Source organism: Homo sapiens, chromosome 16, assembly GCF_000001405.40.
Source record: "Homo sapiens chromosome 16, GRCh38.p14 Primary Assembly".
In the NCBI taxonomy this organism is placed as follows: Eukaryota; Metazoa; Chordata; class Mammalia; order Primates; family Hominidae; genus Homo; species Homo sapiens.
Window position 1 is genome coordinate 21,233,655 of NC_000016.10, and position 21,809 is coordinate 21,255,463.

The 21,809-nt window shown below is 42.6% G+C and overlaps 1 protein-coding gene across 1 annotated transcript; it reads left to right on the plus strand.

Moving 5' to 3' along the window:
* The first annotated feature begins 44 nt into the window (after nt 1-44).
* On the plus strand, nt 45-20,196 carry ANKS4B (ankyrin repeat and sterile alpha motif domain containing 4B). Its single transcript, NM_145865.3, has 2 exons — nt 45-247; nt 16,077-20,196. Exons 1-2 carry the CDS (start codon nt 84-86, stop codon nt 17,164-17,166), a joined length of 1,254 nt encoding a protein of 417 aa, NP_665872.2. The 5' UTR covers nt 45-83; the 3' UTR covers nt 17,167-20,196.
* Nucleotides 20,197-21,809: the final 1,613 nt, after the last annotated feature.

Consider the following 21,809-nt stretch of genomic DNA (forward strand, 5'->3'; position numbering starts at 1 on the left):
AACCAGCTCTATAGGAAGGTTGCTCCGCCAACACCTTGCTCTGCCTGGAGAGACATCTGGCCAAGTTCTGGTGAGCAGGAAAAATGTCTACTCGTTACCACCAAGCTGCTAGTGATAGTTACCTGGAACTTCTAAAAGAGGCTACCAAGCGAGATCTAAATCTTTCGGATGAAGACGGCATGACTCCTACTCTCTTGGCAGCCTACCATGGGAACTTGGAAGCCCTAGAGATAATCTGCAGTAGAGGGTAAGTTCAACCCGATGGTTTCTGTTGGAAACAGTGTTCATGGTAGGTTTTTGCAGACAGCAGCAAGAGGCAGGGACGTCAATACAAATACTTTATCCTCTTTCTAGATTGTCTAAATGATTGGATTTTTAGAGAAAGAGAGAAAACTATGCCTAGAGATGCTCTCTTTTCTCACTGAGGACTGGCACTATAGGAGTGGCTCATCCCTTAGCCACAATCAGAGGAGAGACCCTGAACTACGGCATTATCTGCATGGGGAAGAGGGAAGATATTTTAATTCTATGCCTTTAAAAATGCTTTTCATGAAATTTAAATAGTTTTCTCTTTTCAAAGAGGCCATTGTTTTACTTGGTTTTAAGTTGCCAACCTTGGTTGGAACAAATGACATGGTTTTAGTTTTTTTTTTATCTATGCCATCAAAATCTCACAGTCTTTTATTAACTTTCAATCCCAGTGCAAGCTCATGATTTTTTTATTTTTTATTTTTGACACAGGGTCTTGCTCTTTTGAATGGAGTTGCTGGCTCTACAAGGACTCTTTAGCCTATCTTAACTCTATCACTTCTTTGGCTAGTGGATAGATACACACACACACACACACACACACACACACACACACACCCCATCTCTTTGCCCAGATTTTAATGGAGGAGTAAGCTAGTTCCTCTGCTTGTTCTGCCTGTTATCAGAGGGCTAGGTTGTGTTGGCAACCGTAACCCAAGAGGGGTAAAGAAAGAGAAAAGGACAAGGTAAATAAAGGAGCCAAGTGAATCCAATTGAATACCCATTTATTCAGTATTTGTTATGTGCCAGCCACTTATCTCTTAAGATAAGAGATATTTTGCTAGCCACTGGGCACACTGTGATCAACAAGACAGCCACAGTCCCTGTCATAGTGAGCAGATTTGAGAGGGGAAGACAAGACATCTATGATATTTGTGTGTGTGTGTGTGTGCATGTTTGCTCTGAGACAGGGTCTCACTCTGTCACTCAGGCTGGAGTGCAGTGTCAAGATCATAGCTGACTGCAGCCTTGAGCCCCAGGCTCAAGTGGTCCTCCCATCTGAGCCTCCCGAGTAGCTGGGACAAGAGGTGTGCACCACCATGCCCAGCAATTTTTGTACTTTTTGTAGTGATGGGGTTTTGCCATGTTGCCCAGGATGGTCTTCAACTTATGAGCTCAAGCGATCTGACAGCCTCGGTCTCCCAAAGTGCTGGGATTACAGCTGTGAGCCACTGTGCCTGGCTCATCTATGATATTTGTTACAAAAAGGGAAATAGAGGGCACTAAATAGGCATCTACCTCAATCTCAGGGGTGAGGGAAGGCTTCCCTAAGGGGAAAGCATTTAAGCTGGGATTAGGAAAATGAGAACAAGTTGGCTAGACGAAAGAGTGTTTTCCCTAAGATGGAAAACTGCTCTAGTTCTGAGAACTAGAGAAGCTGAGTATGGCTGGATGTGGTTCAAGTAGGAGTGGGGTCAGGACAAGTATAAGAGATAAGACCAGATCACAAAGAGCCTTGTCAACTCTGGTAAGGACTTTATCCTAAGGGCCCAGGAAGCCATGTCTTGGGTAGGGAAGCTGCCAGAGTAGATTTATGTTTACAAAACTCACTCAGGTAGATGGATAACAGTCGGAGAGAATGTTTGGGGACTGTTTTAGTGGTCGAGATGAGTTGGACTAGGGTAGTGACATTGGGAATGGGAAGATATGGTTGGATTTGAGTGGCAGTTTGGATGTAGAATCAATAATGATTGACTGGATGTGGGCAGATAAAGGAAAAGGAGGGTTAAGGTCCCAGGTTTTGGATGTTGACACCCTTTATTAAAATAGGGGACATTTAGGAAGTGTCAGAAGAACCCAGGATTGGGAGAGTTCCTGAGTTGAAGATTGAATGAGAAAGTGAGTGAAGCAGATCTTCCCCATCTCTCTTGTCTGAATAAGACTTTCTTTTCTCAGACACATCGATCCCCATCAGCCAGCCTTCTCCAGTCATCTCATCTCTTCTCCTACTCAGCCTAGGGTTCCCCAGCTTTCTCCATCTACTGAAAGTCTACCTCATTCCACAAACTGCAAGATGTCAGTTACTTTAAAATCAAAGTATTAGCCTATTCTTGCATTGCTATAAGGAAATGCCTGGGCCTAGGTAATTTATAAAGAAAAGAGGTTTCACTGGCTCATAGTTCTACGGGCTGTACAGGAAGTATAGTAGCTTCTGCTTTTGGGGAGCCTTCAGGAAGCTTCCAATCATGGCAGAAGGAAAAGGCATCTCACATGGCAGAAGCAAGAGCAAGAGAGCAAGGGGGGAGGTGCTAGAAACCAGATCTAATGAGAGCTCACTATCATGAGGACAGTACCAAGGGGAATGGTGCTAAACCATTCATGAGAAATTCGCCCCCACGATCCAGTCACCTCCCACCAGTCCCTACCTCCAACATTGCGGATTACAATTTGATTTGAGGTTTGTTCCCCACCAAATCTCACAGATCCAAACTGTATCAACCAGTGAGTTTGTCCTCCTAGAAGAGGGTTTGGGGGTTCTGGGGTTCTTCTCAGCAGAGAGCTCTTGTTCCATTTGAGGACATTTTGAATAGTAATGCTTAGGTGTTCTCTCTCTTTCTCTCCTTTGAAAGCCTGAAATATTCTCTTACAATAACTCTTCTGCTGGTCTTTATTTATTTTTTATTTTTACTAGAGACAGGGCCTCGCTTTGTTGCCCAGGCTGGTCTCGAACTCCTGAGCTCAAATAATCCTCCTGCCTCAGCCTCCCAAAGTGTTGAGATTACAGGTGTGAGCCACAGCACTCAGCCTGGTTCTGCTAGTCTTTAATTACAAAAGTAACATGAGCTGAACCCAGAAAATTAAACCATACAGACGCACACAAAACATGAAGAAAAAATGTCCTATAATGCCATGCTACTAAGATGTATATAGTTCTCTCTATATATACTATAGTGCATACAAATACATTTTAATATTCTTCTATAAATTTCAGGGACTTTGTAGGACTCTAGTCAACAAATACATTTCTTAGCCAACCCCTCTTTTGGACACATAGTTTGTTTTCCCTAGTTTGAATAGGGCTATGATGACTATCCTTGTACATAAATCTTTGCTGACATTGTCTTTTGTGTTTTTTTGAGATGGAGTCTCTCTGTCACTCAGGCTGGAGTGCAGTAGCGTGATCTTGGCTCACTGCAACCTCCACCTCTCGGGTTTGAGCAATTTTCCTGCCTCAGCCTCCTAAGTAGCTGGGTCTACAGGCGTGCACTACCACGCCGGGCTAATTTTTGTATTTTTAGTAGGGACAGGGTTTCACCATGTTGGCCAGGCTGGTCTCGAACTCCTGACCTCAGGTGATTTGCCCACCTCGGCCTCCCAAAGTGTTGGGATTACAGGTGTGAGCCACCGGGCCTGGCCACATTTTCTTGAGAATAAATTCTCCAAAGTGAAATTTCTGGATCAATTTGCATTTGTGTTAGTCCATTTGTACTGCTATAACAAAATACCTTAGATTAGGTAATTTATAAAAACCAGAAATTTATTTCTTACAGCTCTGGCAGCAGAGACATCCAAGATCAAGGCACCAGCAGGACTGGTGTCTGATGACAGCCCTGTCTCCGCTTCCAAGATGGTGCCTTGTTGTTGCATCCTATGGCTGTGTCCTCACATGGAGGAAGGGAAGGAAGGGGCAAAAAAAAAAAAAAGGCAAATTCCCTGTGTCAAGTCCTTTTATAAGGGTGCTAACCCCATTCATGAGGGTAGAGTCTTCATGACTCAATCGTCTCCTAAAGGCCACACTGCTTAACGCTGTTACATTGACGATTAAGTTTCAACATGAATTCTGGAGGAGACACATTCAAACCATAGCAGCATATGTGCAATTTAAATAGTTTTGTGTGTGTGTAAATGGACATGCTGTCCTTCAGAAAGTGAGTACCCATTTTGGCCAACATGATAGGTCCAAAATGATATATTAGGCTGGGCGTGGTGGCTCACTCCTGTAATCCCAGCACTTTGGGAAGCCAAGGCGGGCAGATCACTTGAGGCCAGGAGTTCGAGGCCAGCCTGGCCAACATGGTGAAACCCCATCTCTACTAAAAATACAAAATTAGCATGGTGTGGTGGTGCACGCCTATAATCCCAGCTACTCAGGAGGCTGAGGCACAAATTGCTCCTGAATCCCTTGAATCCGGGTGGTGGAGGTTGCAGTGAGCCGAGATCAGGCAACTGCACTCCAGCCTGGGCAACAGAGTGAGACTCTGTCTCAAAAAACAAAACAAAACAAAACAAAATGATACACCAGTGTGGCTTTAATGTTCTTTTCTTTGGTTGCCGATGAGGTTGAAAATTCTTTTTATGCTTAAAAAGAATTGGCCATTGGATTGCCACTTTTGTGAACTGTGTATTTATAACTTTATTCCCCATTTATATTGGGGTTTTCAACCATTTCTCCTTGATTGATAAAAACACTTTTGAAAGTTAACAATATCAACTCTTTGTCATATAGGTTACAACTGTTTTACAATACACAATTTATATTTTTGACAACAGATTTTTAAATATAAATGTAAACATAAATATATATATATATATACGTATAAGTCTATCAATCTTTGTTGTGTGATTCTAACTTTGAGGTCATGCCTCAATACTGACTGATCCTTTAGTGCTATTTTTAGTTTCATTTGTTATTTTAAATACTTTATATAATTTAAGATCTGAATTATGATCTAACTCTGCATTCTCCAAGTGGCTACTCATTTATTCCAACACAATTAGTTGTTATAGTCTATCTCTTTCTCCACTAAGTTGACATGGTAACATCATTTCTTTCAATGTAATATAAATATCCAGTCCCCCCAATTTGCTTATATTAATATTTATTAAACACTGGCTATGGGTGCAAATATTCTTCTAACCTTGTTTTTCCTAGTCCTTCCTTCTCAACTCCTTTCTTCTCACGGGATCTAGTACATCTCAGATTTGTTTCATTGCCCTCAAAAGCATCTGGGATCTGCTGTGTTGAGCAGGCCTGATGTAGGCTAAAAAAAAGAACAGAAGTCTTGTGAGGTGCCTTTTTGACCATAGCTAATCCTGGGAACCAGTGTGAGGTCAAATTTCCAATTAGATTTAAGGAAGCTGAAAAGGGAAGAAAATTACCATCTCACATCAGTCAGAATGGCTATTATAACATCAAAAAATAACAGATGCTGGTGAGGTTGAGGAGAAAAGCGAACACTTATACACTGTTGGTGGGAGTGTAAATTAGTTCAACCATTGTGGAAAGCAGTGTGACAATTGCTCCAAGAGCTAAAAGCAGAACTACCATTCGAGCCAGCAATCTCATTACTGGGTATATACCCAAAGGAATATGAATCCTTCCACAATAAAGATACATGCCTGGATCATGCCTGTAATCCTAGCACTTTGGGAGGCCGAGGCGGGTGGGTCATTTGAGGTCAGGAGTTCAAGACCAGCCTGATCAACATGGTGAAACCTCATCTCTACTAAAAGAAAAACACAAAAAATTAACTGGGCGTGGTGGCACACACCTGTAATTCCAGCTCCTCAGGAGGCTGAGACACAAAAATTGCTTGAACCCGCAAGGAGAAGGTTGCAGTGAGCCAAGATCACGCCACTGCACTCCAGCCTGGGGAACAGCAAGACTCCATCTCAAAAAACAAACAAACAAACAAACACATGCATGTGAGTGTTCATTGCAGCACTGTCACAATAGCAAAGACATGGAATCAGCCTAAATGTCCATCAATGACAGATTGGATAAAGGAAATGTGGTACATATACAGCATGGAATAGTATGCAGTCGAAAAAGAATGAGATCACATATTTTGTGGGAACATGGGTGGAGATGGAGGCCATTATTCTTAGCGAGCTAACGCAGGAACAGAAAACCAAACACCACATATTCTTACTGATAAGTGGGAGCTAAATGATGAGAACATGTTGGCTTAGTGCCTGGGTGACAAAATTATCTACAACAAACACTCGTGATATGAGTTTACCTATATAACAAACCTGCACATGTACTCCTGAACCTAAAATTAAAAAAAATTGAAAATTGAATTTAGAAGCTAATCAACTATTGAAATACTGAAGTCCATTTCAGTCTGATGATTTAAGAGTTTATCTGTCATTACCTGATAGACAACGAATCCTATAGCAACCATTTATATTAAAACTCTGGCTTTGTTAGAAAACTATTTTCCTTTGTTTTTAAAATTTGAAGATGGAAAACAATCATTACATGTATTTTCCTGCACTAGGAAGCATAATGGCCCAATTACAAAAAAAAATTCATTTTACCTTTAAAGTGTATGAAATTTCTTGGTTTTATTTTTTAAAATGGAAACTAGACTTTTTCCCCCAGATTCTTTTTTTTTTGTGATGGAGTCTCGCTTCTGTCGCCCATCCTGGAGTGCAATGATGGGATCTTGGCTCACTGCAACCTCCGCCACCTAGGTTCGAGTGATTCTCCTGCCTCAGCCTCTGGAATAGCTGAGACTACAGGTGCCTGCCACCACACCCCGCTAATTTTTGTATTTTTAGTAGAGACAAGGTTTCACCATGTTGGCCAGGCTGGTCTGATTCTTAAAGAAATACATACTTATTGTAATATTTCACATCATATTGAATAGAATTGATAAAGTAAAAATTATACCAATTCCTACAGTTATCAACATTTGGGTACATATCCTTCCAGACTTTTTCCTTTGAGTACATGCAAACACATGTACATTCTCTCCCTTTAAAAGACAATCATATAAACTATACTGAAACCTTCTAATTATTTAACAATATATCATGGACCATTTGCACTTAAAAGTTGAGATCCACGCCACTATTTTATTTTTTTTTTAATAATTTCAACTTTTTTTTTTTTGTGAGAGACAGAGTCTTGTTCTGTCACCTAGGCTGGAGTGCAGTGGCACAATCTTGGCTCACTGCATCCTCCACCTCCCAGGTTTGAGTGATTCTCCTGCCTCAGCTTCCCAAGCAGCTGGAACTACAGGTATGCGCCACCATGCCCAGCTAATTTTGGTATTTTTTAGTAGAGACAGGGTTTCACTATATGTTGGCCAGGCCGGTCTCGAACTCCTGACTTCAGGCGATCCACCTGCCTTGGCCTCCCAAATTGTTGGGATTACAGGTGTGAGTCACTGCACCACGCCAGTTTCAACTTTTAGATTTAGAGGGTACGTGTGCAGGTTTGCTGCATGGGTACACTGCATGGTGCTGGTGTTTGGGGTATGACTGATCCCATCACCCAGGTAGTGAGCATGGTACCAAATAGTTTTTCAACCGTTGCCCTCCTCTCATAGTCCCCCGTGTCTGTTGTTGCTATCTTTACGTCTGTGAGTACCCAATGTTTAGCTCTCACTCATAAGTAAGAATATGCGGTAGTGGGTTTTCCATTCCTGTGTTAATTTGCTAGGGATGGGATAATGCATGCCACTATCTTTAATGACTTCATGGTATTCTGTTTTATGGTGTTTGTTTGTTTGTTTTTGAGATGGACTCTCGCTCTGTCATCCAGGCTGGAGTGCAGTGGTGCGATCTCAGTTCACTGCACCCTCAGCCTCCCAGGTTCAAGCAATTCTCCTGCCTGTCTCCAGAGTAGCTGGGGTTACAGGCACATGCTACCACCCCCACTTAATTTTTGTAGTTTTAGTAGAGATGAGGTTTCACCATGTTGGCCGGGCTGGTCTCAAACTCCTGGCCTCAAGTGATCAACCCACCTTGGCCTCCCAAAGTGCTAGGATTATAGGCGTGAGCTACTGTGCCTGGCCAGTTTCATTATTTTTATTAATTAACAAAAATTATATATATTTATGGTGTACAACGTGATTTTTAAAAATATGTATACATTGTGGAATTAAGTCAAGCTAATTGACTATGTGTTATCTTCTATACTTTTTGTGATGAGAACATTAAAATCTACTTGGTAGGCAATTTTCAAATATACAGTGTATTGTTATTAACTATAGCCATTGAGCTGAGCATGATGGCTCATGCCTGTAATCCCAGCTCTTTGGGAGGTTGAGGCAGGAGGATTGCTTGAGGCCAGGAGTTCGAGACTAGCCTGGGCAACATAGCAAGACCCCATCTCTATAAAAAATAAATAACTAATTTTTAAAAAAACTATAGTCATCATGTGTTACAATAGATGTCTTGTACTTATTCCTCCTGTCTCACTGAAATTTTGTATCCTTTGACCAACTCCCCAGTCTGCCTCTGCCTAGTTACCACCATTCTACTTTCTGCTTCTAGGAGACTTTTCTTTTAGACGGAGTCTCACTCTGTCACCAGGCTGGAGTGAAGTGGCACGATCTTGGCTCACTGCAACCTCCGCCTCCCGGATTCAAGCAATTCTCCTGCCTCAGCCCTCCCAAGTAGCTGGGACTACAGGCACGTGCCACCACACCCAGCTAATTTTTGTATTTTCAGTAGAGATGGGGTTTCACCATGGTGGCCAGGATGGTTTCAATCTCTTGACCTCGTGATCTGCCCACCTCAGCCTCCCGAAGTGCTGGGATTACAGGCATGAGCCACTGCGCCCAGCCTCTAGGAGACTTTTTTAGATTCCACATTTAAGTGAGATCATGTGGTATTCGTCTTTCTGTGCCTGTCTTATTTCACTTAACATACTGTCCTCCAGGCTCATCCATGTTGTCGAAAATGACAGGATCCGTTTGTTTCTTAAGACTGGATAGTATTCCATTGTGTGGAGCCACCATGTTTTCTTTATCCATTCTTCCACTGATGGACACAGATTAATGCCATAATATATGTAATCAGTTGACTATTCATGTTGCTTAATTTGAACCCACTCTTTTTCCTGTTATAAGTAAGTTTGGGAGGAACATTCCTGCTCATTCATCTTTGCACAAAGATCTTATATTTCCTTAGGACAAATTCCTAAATGTAGAATTGTAGATTCAAAAGAGTGCCTCATTTTAAAGGCTTTTTGTGTGTATTGTGCCAGGAAATTTGAACCACTTTCTGCTTCTTCCAGCAGTATTTCTTTCCCCATACTCCTGCCAAAACCAAGTATTACTATTCTTTTTAATCGTTGCCTATCTGATTGGCAAAAGGCAGAGTATTGTTTCAATTTGCATTTCTTTGACTATTAGTGAGTCCAAATATTTCTTTTTATGCAGAAAAACGTTTTTGAAAGAATAGTTGAGAACTTCACAAAAAATCAACTTCAGGAGGAAAAATTGGAATGTAACAGATGCTCAGGGTAATTTAAGCAAATTGCCTACTTAGTGACAGTAGTGCTAAGCCAGCTTTAAAAACTATTGCCCAAATGCACTGATCTACCAAAAATCAAGGGAAAAATGGGTTATTTTAAAATCTCTTCAGTGAGTTTCTCTTTTGGGGAAAAGGGAAATAGAAAAAAACAACACTAGACTGAGCTTAGCCCACGAAAACCGTAGAGCATCAATGTTGAACTCAGATTATCAAACGACAGGACTAGTTTTCCACCCAGGCAGTTGTATGCAATGGTTCTATCAAGAAATGTGAACAATGACAAGTATGGAATTTAAAAGGACTCCATGCAACTTGTCTGTAGAAAATATTTCCATTTAAATTGTACATCAATTTGGAAATGTGTCTGTAAGTAGAAGTTTTGCAAGTTTTTTGTTTTGTTTTGTTTTGTTTTTGAGACGGAGTCTTGCTCTGTTGCCTGGGCTGGAGTGCAGTGGTGTGATCTCAGCTCACTGCAAGCTCCGCCTCCTGGGTTCACGCCATTCTCCTGCCTCAGCCTCCCGAGTAGCTGGGACTACAGGTACACACCACCATGCCTGGCTAATTTTTTTTGTATTTTTAGTAGAGACGGGGTTTCACCATGTTAGCCAGGATGGTCTTGATCTTCTGACCTCGTGATCCACCCACCTTGGCCTCCCAAAGTGCTGGGATTACAGACATAAGCCACTGTGCCCAGCCAAAGTTTTGCAAGTTTTAATAGCTTAAAGCCACTAGGAAAACCCATGAATTGTCTTACTGACAGTTTCATCTGTAAATCTGGAATTTTGCATTTGAAATTTTCTCAAAAGAAGGCCCACCTTTGGGGTCATCTCAGGTGTACTGTTCTTCCTTCTGTCTTGAAAGCATCATTTAAGATTCAGTGAAATGGGTGCAGCTGTAAAAAAAAAAAAAAAAAAAAATGAGATCATGTCCTTTGCAGGGACATGGATGAAGCTGGAAGCCATCATTCTCAGCAAACTAACACAGGAACAGAAAACCAAACACTGCATGTTCTCACTCATAAATGGGAGTTGAACAATGAGAAGACATGGACACAGGGAGGGGAACATCACACACCGGGGCCTGTTGGGGGGTCGGGGGCAAGAGGAGGGAGAGCATTAGGACAAATACCTACTGCATGAAGGGCTTAAAACCTAGATGACAGGTTGACAGGTGCAGCAAACCACCATGGCACATGTATACCTAGGTAACAGACCTGTATGTTCTGCACATGTATCCCAGAACTTAAAGCAAAATAAAAATTCAGTGAAATGAGAAAATTCCACCAGTCTATAGTCTTAAGCATATACATTTAACCCGGACACCTTAGTGCCCTTCTGCATCCCCCCTGCAGCTCACTCCTCCCAATAATTTTGTTTTCAACTTATCCAATCCAAGGATAACTTCAGGCAAATTTAATCAGTATGTTTCTCTTTCTGTTGATAGTAACGTCTTGGGTGTTTTACAATCCCTCTTTGATGTCTAGGATACTTAAGGAGTCTTTTGCATCTAGTGTTTATTTAAAATAAAAAGTGAAACCACATGTTTAGGGGGGAGACACAGCGGTCCCTTAAGATGCGGGTCTGTGCCAAGGTTGAAGGGTCTCCTTTCATCCCAAACAATTAAGTCAGGCTGACTGACCAGAGCCTTCTGGAAAGTGGCTTCCCAGCAAAACTGTGTTACTTAATATTTGCTTTCCTTAGATTTGATTTCATTTTCTTTCCTTTTCCACTCTTTCCCCTTACCCCCAACTCCACACACTCTGGTCACGCTGATCTATACTCCTGGTTCCCCAAATAGGCCTTGTAATATCAGCCATCTGTGCCTCTGCTCACACTGTTCTCTCTGCTCAGAAGGAGGTTACCAGTTGCCAGCTTATGGGCTGGAGCTGGTCCACAAATGTGTTTTATTTGGACTTTACTATATTTTTCTTTTAAATTTGAGCCAACACTTAAAAATCACAGAATTTCGCTTGAAATTCTGGATTTGTGGCTTCGTTTGAAAAATGGGAGCTCTGGCAATATTGTTTCCGCTTTGATTCAAGGTAGCTGAGCTGTGGTCCTTTCTAGGTGGAGTATGCATTTAACTGTGACTTTGTTGAAAGAGCAAACTTGGCCCCATTCAGTCACTTACATGACTTGCTGGACTTCTTTGAGTTGGGTTGGAGACTTCTGCCGGGACATGTGGCTGACACAAAGGAGAAAGAGACACAGGCTTTGCCCTCTGGGGCATATTATCCAATTAAGGAGACAAGGCATAAATATTTGTCAGATTAAAACTGGAAGTGATTGATTGATTGATTTTTTTTTTATTTTTTTGAGACAGAGTCTCACTTTGTCACCCAGGCTGGAGTGCGGCGGCGCAATCTCGGCTCACTGCAATCTCCACCTCCCAGGTTCTCCTGCCTCAGTCTCCTGAGTAGCTGGGACTACAGGCGCGCACCACCATGCCTGGCTAATTTTTGTACTTTTAGTAGAGATGGGGTTTCACCATGTTGAATAGGCTGGTCTCAAACTCCTGGCCTCCAGTGATCCACCAGCCTCGGCCTCCCAAAGTGCTGGGATTATAGGCATGAGCCACCTCACCTGGCCTATAAGTGATTTTTAAAAACCCACAAGCATTATTGTGCTGTAGGAATTTACTAGTTGAATACAAGGAAAAATAAATACATGAAATTAAGGATTATGAGTTTGGGGGCAAGGGCAAGGATAATAAGTAATGTTTATTCAATATTTACTATGTGCCAAGCAGTTTTCCAATGCTTTATGTAGATTAATTTATTTAATTCACATAACTCTATGAATAGGTAATAGTATTATCTTCAATTTACAGATGAGTGTTAGAAATGTTTGTCTTTTGGTGTTGCAAAGAAATAGTATTTGAACATAAATTTAATTTTTTTAGTAAGGCTATTTTTATTTTTCGTAGAAAGGGTATATTTGTTAGTAGTTTTGTTATGAGAGTATATTGAACAAAGGAGACAGGGTTATTTATAACTTGATGTGTTTAATGTTGTGTTTGGTTTTTATTGGCTGGAATGGGACTTTACATTTTGTATTTGTCTTGATTGGTTAGTAACTTAGAACTTTTTAAAAGAGGCAAAGGCAGAGGAGAACAAAGGAAGGAGAAAGTAATTTGTGGAATGTTGAGAAAGGTAAAAACACTTTTAAATAAGGAAGAGGAACAGGCTATGACTTAATGTTTGTTTGGACTACTATAAGTATGTTAGGGTAAATATTTAAGCTAAATTGTGGGAGTTAAGAGTATAAAGTATATTGATTTTTTTATTATGGCTAGTAGATATTTAAGAATGTTAGTACAGGTTTTTGAATAAATTTTGTTTTTAAGAGAAGTTATTATTTATTTTTAATTAGATGGGGAGGAAAGTTTTTGAAGAGGAAACTTTATTTTACTTTTTACATGAAGAAACCAAGTCCTAGAAAAATTAAACTTGAGGCCATGTAGCTGGTAAAATGGAAAAGCCCAGTTGTGTTAATCTAGGATGTATTGTATTGGAGATGATTTGACTGGGAGACCAGCCTGATCCAAATCATGCTGCCTGTTACCCTTGGGCAAATCAATTAAGCTCTCTGAGTCTTATTTTATTCCTGCAGTAATGATTCTTGCCTGCCTTCTCTAAGAGGGAGATTGTGATGGTTGAAGGCAAAGAATGTGAAAGTGCTTCTTTGTAACTAACACACACCAAAGAGCCAGGGATTCCCGTGGAGTAACTGCAAATCTGATTTATCAAATTATAGGACCCTGGTCGGATCACACTAACCAGTGAAGTTCTTTTCAATCTGTAGTGAGCCTACGAATCACCTGCGGATCTTGCTAAAGTGTAGATTCTGATTCAATAGGTCTGGGTGAGAGTCTTCTGTACTTTTTTTGGTTTGCTTTTTTTTTTTTTTGGAGAGAGTCTCACTCTGTCACCCAGGCTGGAGTGCAGTGGTGTGATCTCGGCTCACTGCAACCTCCGCCTCCGGGGTTTAAGCAATTCTCTGCCTCAGCCTCCTGAGAAACTGGGATTACAGACATGTGCCACCACGCCCGGCTAATTTTTGTATTTTTAGTAGAGACAGGGTTTCACAATGTTGACCAGGCTGATCTTGAACTCCTGACCTTGTGATCCACCCACCTCGACCTCCCAAAGTGCTGGGATTACAGGCATGAGAGTCTTCTGAACTTCTAACAAACTCACAGGTGATGCATCTGCTTCTGGTCTGGAGACCCAACGTTGAGCAGCCAGGAACTAGTAGAATGGTCGTGGCGCACTAACAGGTCATTTGCAAGGGTGCAGATCTTCTCTTCTGCTTCTGTCTGCCCTCTACTTCTCGGGAATGTTAAGAGGACTTCTCAGACTCACTGTCCTCTTTCCATGGGGCCAGGCTGGCCAGAGTTTAGTGAGATCCTGATTTTGGAGTCTAGCCTAGGGCAAAGGAAGGACCCCTTAGTATCTGTATTATCAGAGTTCTCAGCATTGGCGCATGGCTCTGGCCATCATTAAAAATAGTTACTCGACTTTTTATCTGTTCCTGTTTGTAACTCAAGTCCTTGTAGGAGAGGAGGGTTTGCTGCCTTGGGCAGGATTCCAGTAGGTTTTCATTCATTCCACAAATACTGGAGCACCTACTATGTCCCTGTTCTGTGCCAGGCATTAGGTTTATGGCCTTAATACCATCTAATAGTATCCCCAATTCCACCTTAAACTCTTGTAGAATGACACACTTATATGAACCTGCAGTCATGGAAGTAAGTTGAGGAATAAATAGAGATGTAATGCCCTTTTAATGAATAATGTTTGTAACAGACACTGTTTGCTACCTCTCCAACATCCTTTTCTTTCTTCTTTCCTGCTGATGGGGACTGAGTTTGGTTCAGTTATTTATTTCCCCACATGTGGCTCAATTCGGGAGGGTAGCAGTAGCATGCTGGAACCAGCTTGTCAGAGTTATTTCCAAATTTTAGAAAGTTTGACAGCTAAATATAGCCATTCTTTCTTACTTTTTATTTTTATTTTAAAAAAAAATTTAATGGAGGCAGGTCTTGTTATGTTTCCCAGGCTGGTCTTGAATGCCTGGCCTCAAGCAAATCTCCCACCTCAGCCTCCCAGTGCTGGGATTACAGGCACGAGCCACTGAGCCTAGCCTTTTTTTTTTTTTTTTTTAAGGCAGGGTCTTGCTGTGTTGCCCAGGCTGTAGACAGTGGTGCAATCATAGGTTACTGTAAGCCTGAGCTTCTGAGAACATAGCCATTCTTAAAAATAAAATTACAGGCTGGGCGTGGTGGCTCACAACTGTAATCCCAGCACTTTGGGAGGCTGAGGCGGGTGGATCACCTGAGGTCAGGAGTTTGAGACCAGCCTGACCAACACGGTGAAACTCCATCTCTACTAAAAATACAAAAATTAGCTGGGTGCAGTGGTGGGTGCCTGCAGTCCCAGCTACTCGGGAGGCTGAGGCAGGAGAATCGCTTGAACCTGGGAGGTGGAGGTTGCAGTCAAGCCGAGATTGCACCACTGCACTCCAGCCTGGACGACAGAGCAAGACTTCATCTCAAAAAAAATTATATAAACTTATAATTTAACAAATTATATTAAAAAGATAACACGAAAGTCTCACTTTCTACTTATTTTAATACATTTCACTCTTACCTGTCTCTTAAGATGATTCATGTCCATTATATCTACATGGGGGAAATAGTTGATAATGGTACGCTACTGTGTATCTCTTCCAAACTCTGTCCAGTGATGTTACATTGGTAGCTTGAAATTTGCCATGGTGGATGTATTTACACCACAGAAATTGGCACATGCTACAAATTAGGATTTTGATGTTATTATTTTCTTGATAAGCCATTGAACAATCCTATCCCTAGTTTCAGGGCAAAATCTAATTGATCTAAGTTAAACACAATAGTATGTTTCCCATCTCTTAGGCGTGTAACCTAGTGCTGGCCAATGAGACAAGAAAGTTGTTTGGCTGGAGAATTTCTTAGTAAGTTTTTCTCACTTCTAAAAAGGAGACACAGCCAGGCACGGTGGCTTACACCTGTAATCCCAACAATTTGGGACGCCAAGGCAAGCAGATGGCTTGAGGCCAGGAGTTTGCGACCAGCCTGGGCAACATGGTGAAACCCTGTCTCTACAAAAAATTAGCTAGGTGTCATGGTGCATGCCTGTAGTCTCAGCTACTCAGGAGGCTGAGCAGGGAGAATCACCTGAGCCTGGGAGGTCAAGGCTGCCAATGAGCTGTGATCACACCATTCCACTCCAGCCTGGGAGATAGAGTGAGAACCTGTCTCAAAACAAAACAAAGGAAACAAACAAAAAGGAGACACACGGTAGAGATGGGCTCTGTTTCTGGCCATGTGGTTTTAAGATGGGATGGTTCTAAGACAGTTGGACTTGCAGCCAGTATCTTATAACAATGTCAAGTCAGGATGAACATGTTTGTATTAACGTGCCTTTTGTTCTTTATTTTTGTTTTGATTTTTTTGGGCCTGCGTTCAGAGAAAAAAAGTCCAACATGTATTTTTTTTCTCTCTCTCTCTTCTAGAGGGGACCCTGATAGGTGTGACATCTGGGGAAACACTCCTCTACATTTTGCAGCCTCCAATGGCCATGCCCACTGCGTCTCATTCCTGGTCAACTTTGGTGCCAACATCTTTGCCCTGGATAATGACTTACAGACTCCACTGGATGCTGCTGCCAGCAGGGAGCAGAATGAATGTGTTGCTCTCCTGGACAAGGCTGCCACTGCACAGAACATCATGAACCCCAAGAAGGTCACCAGGCTGAAGGAGCAGGCTCAGAAGAATGCCAGGAGGCAGATCAAAGAGTGTGAGAGGCTCCAGGAGAAGCACCAAAATAAGATGGCCCACACCTACAGCAAGGAGGAATCCGGGACTCTCTCTTCTTCCAAGGGTACCTTCTCCAGATCATCCCCTTCAAATGCTTCTGCTCCTGGCACATTCGGGTCACTATCTAAGGGCATTAAAGACACTTTCAAGATCAAGTTCAAGAAGAACAAAGATACAGCAGAACAGGTGGGGAAGGAAGGCAGAAGTGGGCAGAGGAACGTGATGGAAGTGTTCAGAGAGGAAGAGGAAGACTCGTTCTCAGGGGACTTCAAAGAGAAGCTCCAGTTGTCAGCAGAGGAGGACGGCAGTGTGCACCATGAATCCATTCTCAATCGTCCAGGTCTAGGAAGTATTGTTTTTAGAAGGAACAGGATATCGAGTCCTGAAGACATCTCAGATAGCAAGAGAGAGTTTGGTTTTAAACTGCCCAGTGAATTGCTTCAAAGACAAGGAGCATCAGAGGCTGATGAGGGTGCAGCTGATGAAGAGGGAGAGGAAAACGGCCTCAAAGATGATCTGCCGTGGGATGACGATGAAGTGGAGTGGGAGGAAGATGTGGTCGATGCCACGCCCCTGGAAGTGTTCTTGCTGTCTCAGCACCTGGAAGAATTCCTGCCTATCTTCAAGAGAGAGCAGATTGATCTAGAAGCTCTGCTGCTCTGCTCTGATGAGGACCTTCAGAGCATACAAATGCAGCTGGGTCCCAGGAAGAAAGTTCTGAATGCTATCAACAGGAGGAAGCAGGTGCTTCAACAGCCTGGGCAGCTGGTCGACACCAGCCTGTGATGGAGAGTTTTGGCCTGGAGCATTGGGGTGATGCTGTGGCCCGCTGGCAGCACTCCAGGCGGCACCCCCTCTTTACCCAATGCCAGACCACTGGGAATGGATTCTAGGGCATCGGAAATGCCTACCTGAGAGAGAGACCCAAACTTTACTCTGGGAGGTAGGCTATGCCCATCCAAATAAATCTCCATGAGAAACTTGAGGAGACTTCATAACAAGAATCTGGCATTTCTCTTCAGTTATCTTATATGTACATATAATTGTTTTTGTGGTTGTTTTGTTTTGTTTTGTTTTGTTTTTTGGAGATGAAGGTCTCAGTCTCTTACCCAGGCTAGGGTGCAGTGGTATGATCATAGTTCACTGTATTCTCAACCTCCTGGGCTCAAATGATCTCCTCCCACCTCAGCCTCCCAAGTAGCTGAGACTACAGGTTCACACCCCCCACACCTGGCTTATTTTGTATGTTTTAGTAGAGGTGGGGTCTTGCCACATTGCCCAGGCTGGTCTCAAACTCCTGGCCTCAAGCAATCCTCCCACCTCAGCCTCCTAAAGCACTGGGATTACAGGTGTGAACCACCGTACCCAGCCTATCTTTTTGATACTTTTGAATAAAGAAAGGGTCATATGCATGACAGGAAAATGAAAGAAACTTCCTTTACTTTTCTATCTCTGGATTTAAAATTATAATCTCATCACATTATCCTGCTGCTTGCTTTCCGATCTGTGTAACCTGGGAATTCCAATTCTTTTTCTCTCCTGAGATCTATGACTTTGCCTAGTGGTAGAGACTAGAGTTCTTTCCTGGCCTGCGGCTTGATGCCCAACTTAAATGCATCTAACCCTTTAACAAATGTGTACATGTTTACAAGTAATGGAAATGCGTCTATAATACTCCTGCCTGAGAATAGAGACAGAGTGGTGGTGGGGAGAGTGAAGAAAGAGATAGAATACAGGTGGTACCTGTTGTGGACTGAATTGCGTCAAATTCATATGTTGGAGCTCTAACCCCTAATGTGACTGTAATTGGAAATAAGACCTTTAAAGAAGTGATTAAGGTTAAATGAAGTCATAAGAATGCAACCCTAATCCTGTAGGACTGGTGTCCTTTTTTTCCCTTTTTTTTTTTTTTTTTGAGATGGAGCCTTGCTCTGTCACTCATGCTGGAGTGCAGTGGCGTGATCTCAGCTCACTGCAACCCCCGCCTCCCAGGTTCGAGCACTTTTCATGCCTCAGCCTCCTGAGTAGCTGGGATTACAGGCGTGCACCACAACGCCTGGCTAAGTTTTTGTATTTTTAGTAGAGGCGGGGTTTCACCATGTTGGCCAGGCTGGTCTCAAACTCCTGACCTCAGGTGATCCACCTGCCTCGGCCTCCCAGAGTGCTGGGATTACAGGCATGAGCCACTGCACCTGGCCTAGGACTGGTGTCCTAAGAAGAGGAAGAGACACTTAGGTGGAAGGCACACAGAGAGGCCACGTGAGGACACAGTGAGAAGGTGGCCGTCTGCAAGCCGAGGAGGGGGCCTCAGGAGAAACCAACCCTGCAATCACCTTGATCTTGGGCTTTCAGCCCCCAAAGGTGTGAGAAAATAAACTTCGGTTGATAAACTGCTGTTGTTGAAGCCATCCAGTCTGTGGCATTTTGTTATGGCAGTCCTAGCAGAATAATACTGTCCTAAGTAAGAGGGTTGGGGAGGAGACCAAGAAAAATACAGAAAAAAAGTCTGTCCAACTGCAATTGATGAGTTTTGTAAGGGTAAACACCTAGTGAAACTTAAGGGGAAAAAAAACTAAGTTCTTTGGAGGGAAGATTTGATTGTCAAAGGAAATTTCACATTTTCATGCTTATTATGTACACATGGTTTATTTACTGTTGTCTGTCACCATTGCCGCATATCTGAATATGTGTAGGTTCCACGATAGAAACTGACAACACTTGGCTCATGCCTGTAATCCCAGCACTTTGGGAGGCCCAGGCAGGCAGATCACCTGAGGTCAGGAGTTCAAGACCAGCCTGGCCAACATGGCGGAAACCCGTCTCTACTAAAAATACAAAAATTAGCCAGGTGTGGTGGCGTGTGCCTGTAATCCCAGCTACTTGGGAGGCTGAGGCAAGAGAATTGCTTGAACCCAAAAGGTGGAGGTTGCAGTGAGTTGAGATTGCACCACTGCACTCTAGCCCAGGCGGTAAGAGAGACTCCATCTCAAAAAAAAAAAAAAAAAAAAAGAAAAAAGAAACTGACAACACTGCTGCTGACATTTTTTCAATGGCAATCCCAAATTCAAACTGAAACCCCACTGAAGAGCTAAGCTTCATTAGATCTCTACAGGCTGACTTACATCAAGTGGAATTTACTGTTGATTCTGGGTATAATACAGAAACAGCTGTTTATCTTCAGCTTGCTTTCTGATGCACATCTGTTTGGGTTACTTCAAGAGGCATCATGGAGGATTCAAGTTTAGGGAGGATACAGATGCTCAAATCTGATGAACAATTGGCTTATTCTTCCTCAATGAATATATTCAGAAAGCTTGTTAGCCATTGAATAAACACGTTGCATTAGGGGATGATTGTTTACAAATACCTTATCTTGTGGAATAAACTGAAGTTGTGCTTTCCTTCATTAACGTGCACAGAAGCAGTTGGCAAATAGAAAGTGCTCAAAAAAGTTTGTAGTCTGTGCCTGCCACTATTATATTTCATCATCATAGATGCCAGAATCCCCTCTTCACCTATTGCCCGGAATCTGCCTAATGAGATATTTGCTCCACCCCCTGCTGTAACTACATCATAGCAAGAGAGCCATCACTCAGGTTGGTAGAAATGAACTTGAACATTGACTCTCATCCCTTTTTAGGAGATATTTGCCACTAGGGGTCTCATCAGGTACCTCTATGCTCTTCTTAGGGGTTCTTTTCTTTTATGATTGACAGAATTAATAGGTGAGCGTTCTCCAAAGTTCTCAGCATCAAGGATATAGTCTCTTCGTCACAGAGTATTGTTATATAATAAAAAAAGGTTTATACCATGTTATAAGATGTTATCAATGTTCTAAGAATTCCAGATCTTTCGAACTAAATACCAACTACAGGGGCTAAGAGAAGATGCCAGAGCAATACAAAGGCCTTGATAAGAGACAAAGACAAGAGGATTATGAGCCAGGATGAGCTTCAAGTACTCACTGATCTCAGACCTCCATCTCTTAAACTAGATGCTTAGAGTAGCTCAATCCAATATCTGGTCACCCCTACCACCTCCTGGCCCCTCTTTTCCCCCTCTATGTAGCTTGACATAAAAGTCAACAAGAGGGAAAAGCAGCTGGGAGCATTTCACCGAAGAGGAGAGTTTGAGAAGTTATAGTGTGGTAAATGTGTATTGTGCTTATATTTCAGGCCATTGTGTAGTACAGGTCAGTTATATGCTCAGAATTCCTAAGTCCAAGTTACCAGCCCAGACCATTGCTTTGGGCACCAAATACTTAAGCCCAAATCTAATCTGACATCTCCTCTCACATGTCTCACAAGTACCCCATACTCAGTGTGTCCAGGACTGAACCCATTTTCTTCCAGGTTGTCAGTTCTCAACTTGGATGATTTTGCCCTCTGTCTCCTAGAGGACATGTGGCAATATCTAGAGACATTTTTTGATTGCCATGATAGGGGAACAGTGGTGCAACTGACATCCAGTGGGTAGAAACAATGGGTGCTAAACATCCTAGAATGTACAGGACAGCCCACCACCACAATGAATTATCGAGACCCAAATAGTGATCGTGCTCAGTTTCAGCTGCATTAAAACATGCAGCTCTAAATCTTCATTTTTCATAAATGGAAAATTTAACCCAATACTTCTTTTCATCACCCAATTGGTCACCAGGCCCTTTCAACTTTTCAATATGTCTCAGAGCTAAATCCTCTTTGATGTTTGCAAGATGACCTATTGGTTCCTGCCCCCAACCATCACTCACTGGATTGCTGTAAGTATCCTTATCTGTCTTTAATTCATTCTCCACAAGGCTGGTTGAGTCACGTAATCTTTTTAATATGTAAGTCTCTTGTCACTTTCTACTTTACTGTTGCTTTTTTTTTTTTTTTTTTTTTAAGACGCAGTTTTGCTCTTGTTGCCCAGGCTGGAGTGCAATAGCACGATCTCAGCTCACCGCAACCTCAGCCTCCTGGGTTCAAGTGATTCTCCTGCCTCAGCCTCCCAAGTAGCTGGAATTACAGGCATGTGCCACCAAGCCTGGCTAATGTTGTATTTTTAGTAGAGACAGGGTTTCTCCATGTTGGTCAGGCTGGTCTCGAACTCCCGACCTCAGGTGATCCACCTGCCTCAGCCTCCCAAAGTGCTGGGATTACAGGCGTGAGCCACTGGGCTCAGCCACCATTGCTTTTCAAACTCTCACCACCACACAGAAGGCCTGCATGATTAAAGAGCCCTATTCTCTCCTCCAAACCTCTGGTCCCATCTCTGACCACTCCTCTCCCTGTCCCCTAATTTCAGCTATACTAGATTTCTTGTGGCTTCCTGAATACATGTCTCTCATATGCCTGTGCCTTAGCATACCATCACCCTTCTGCCTGGAAAAGTCTTCCTCCATATAGCCATCCTCACTGGGAGACATACCCTCTCTCTTTGCCCCTAGT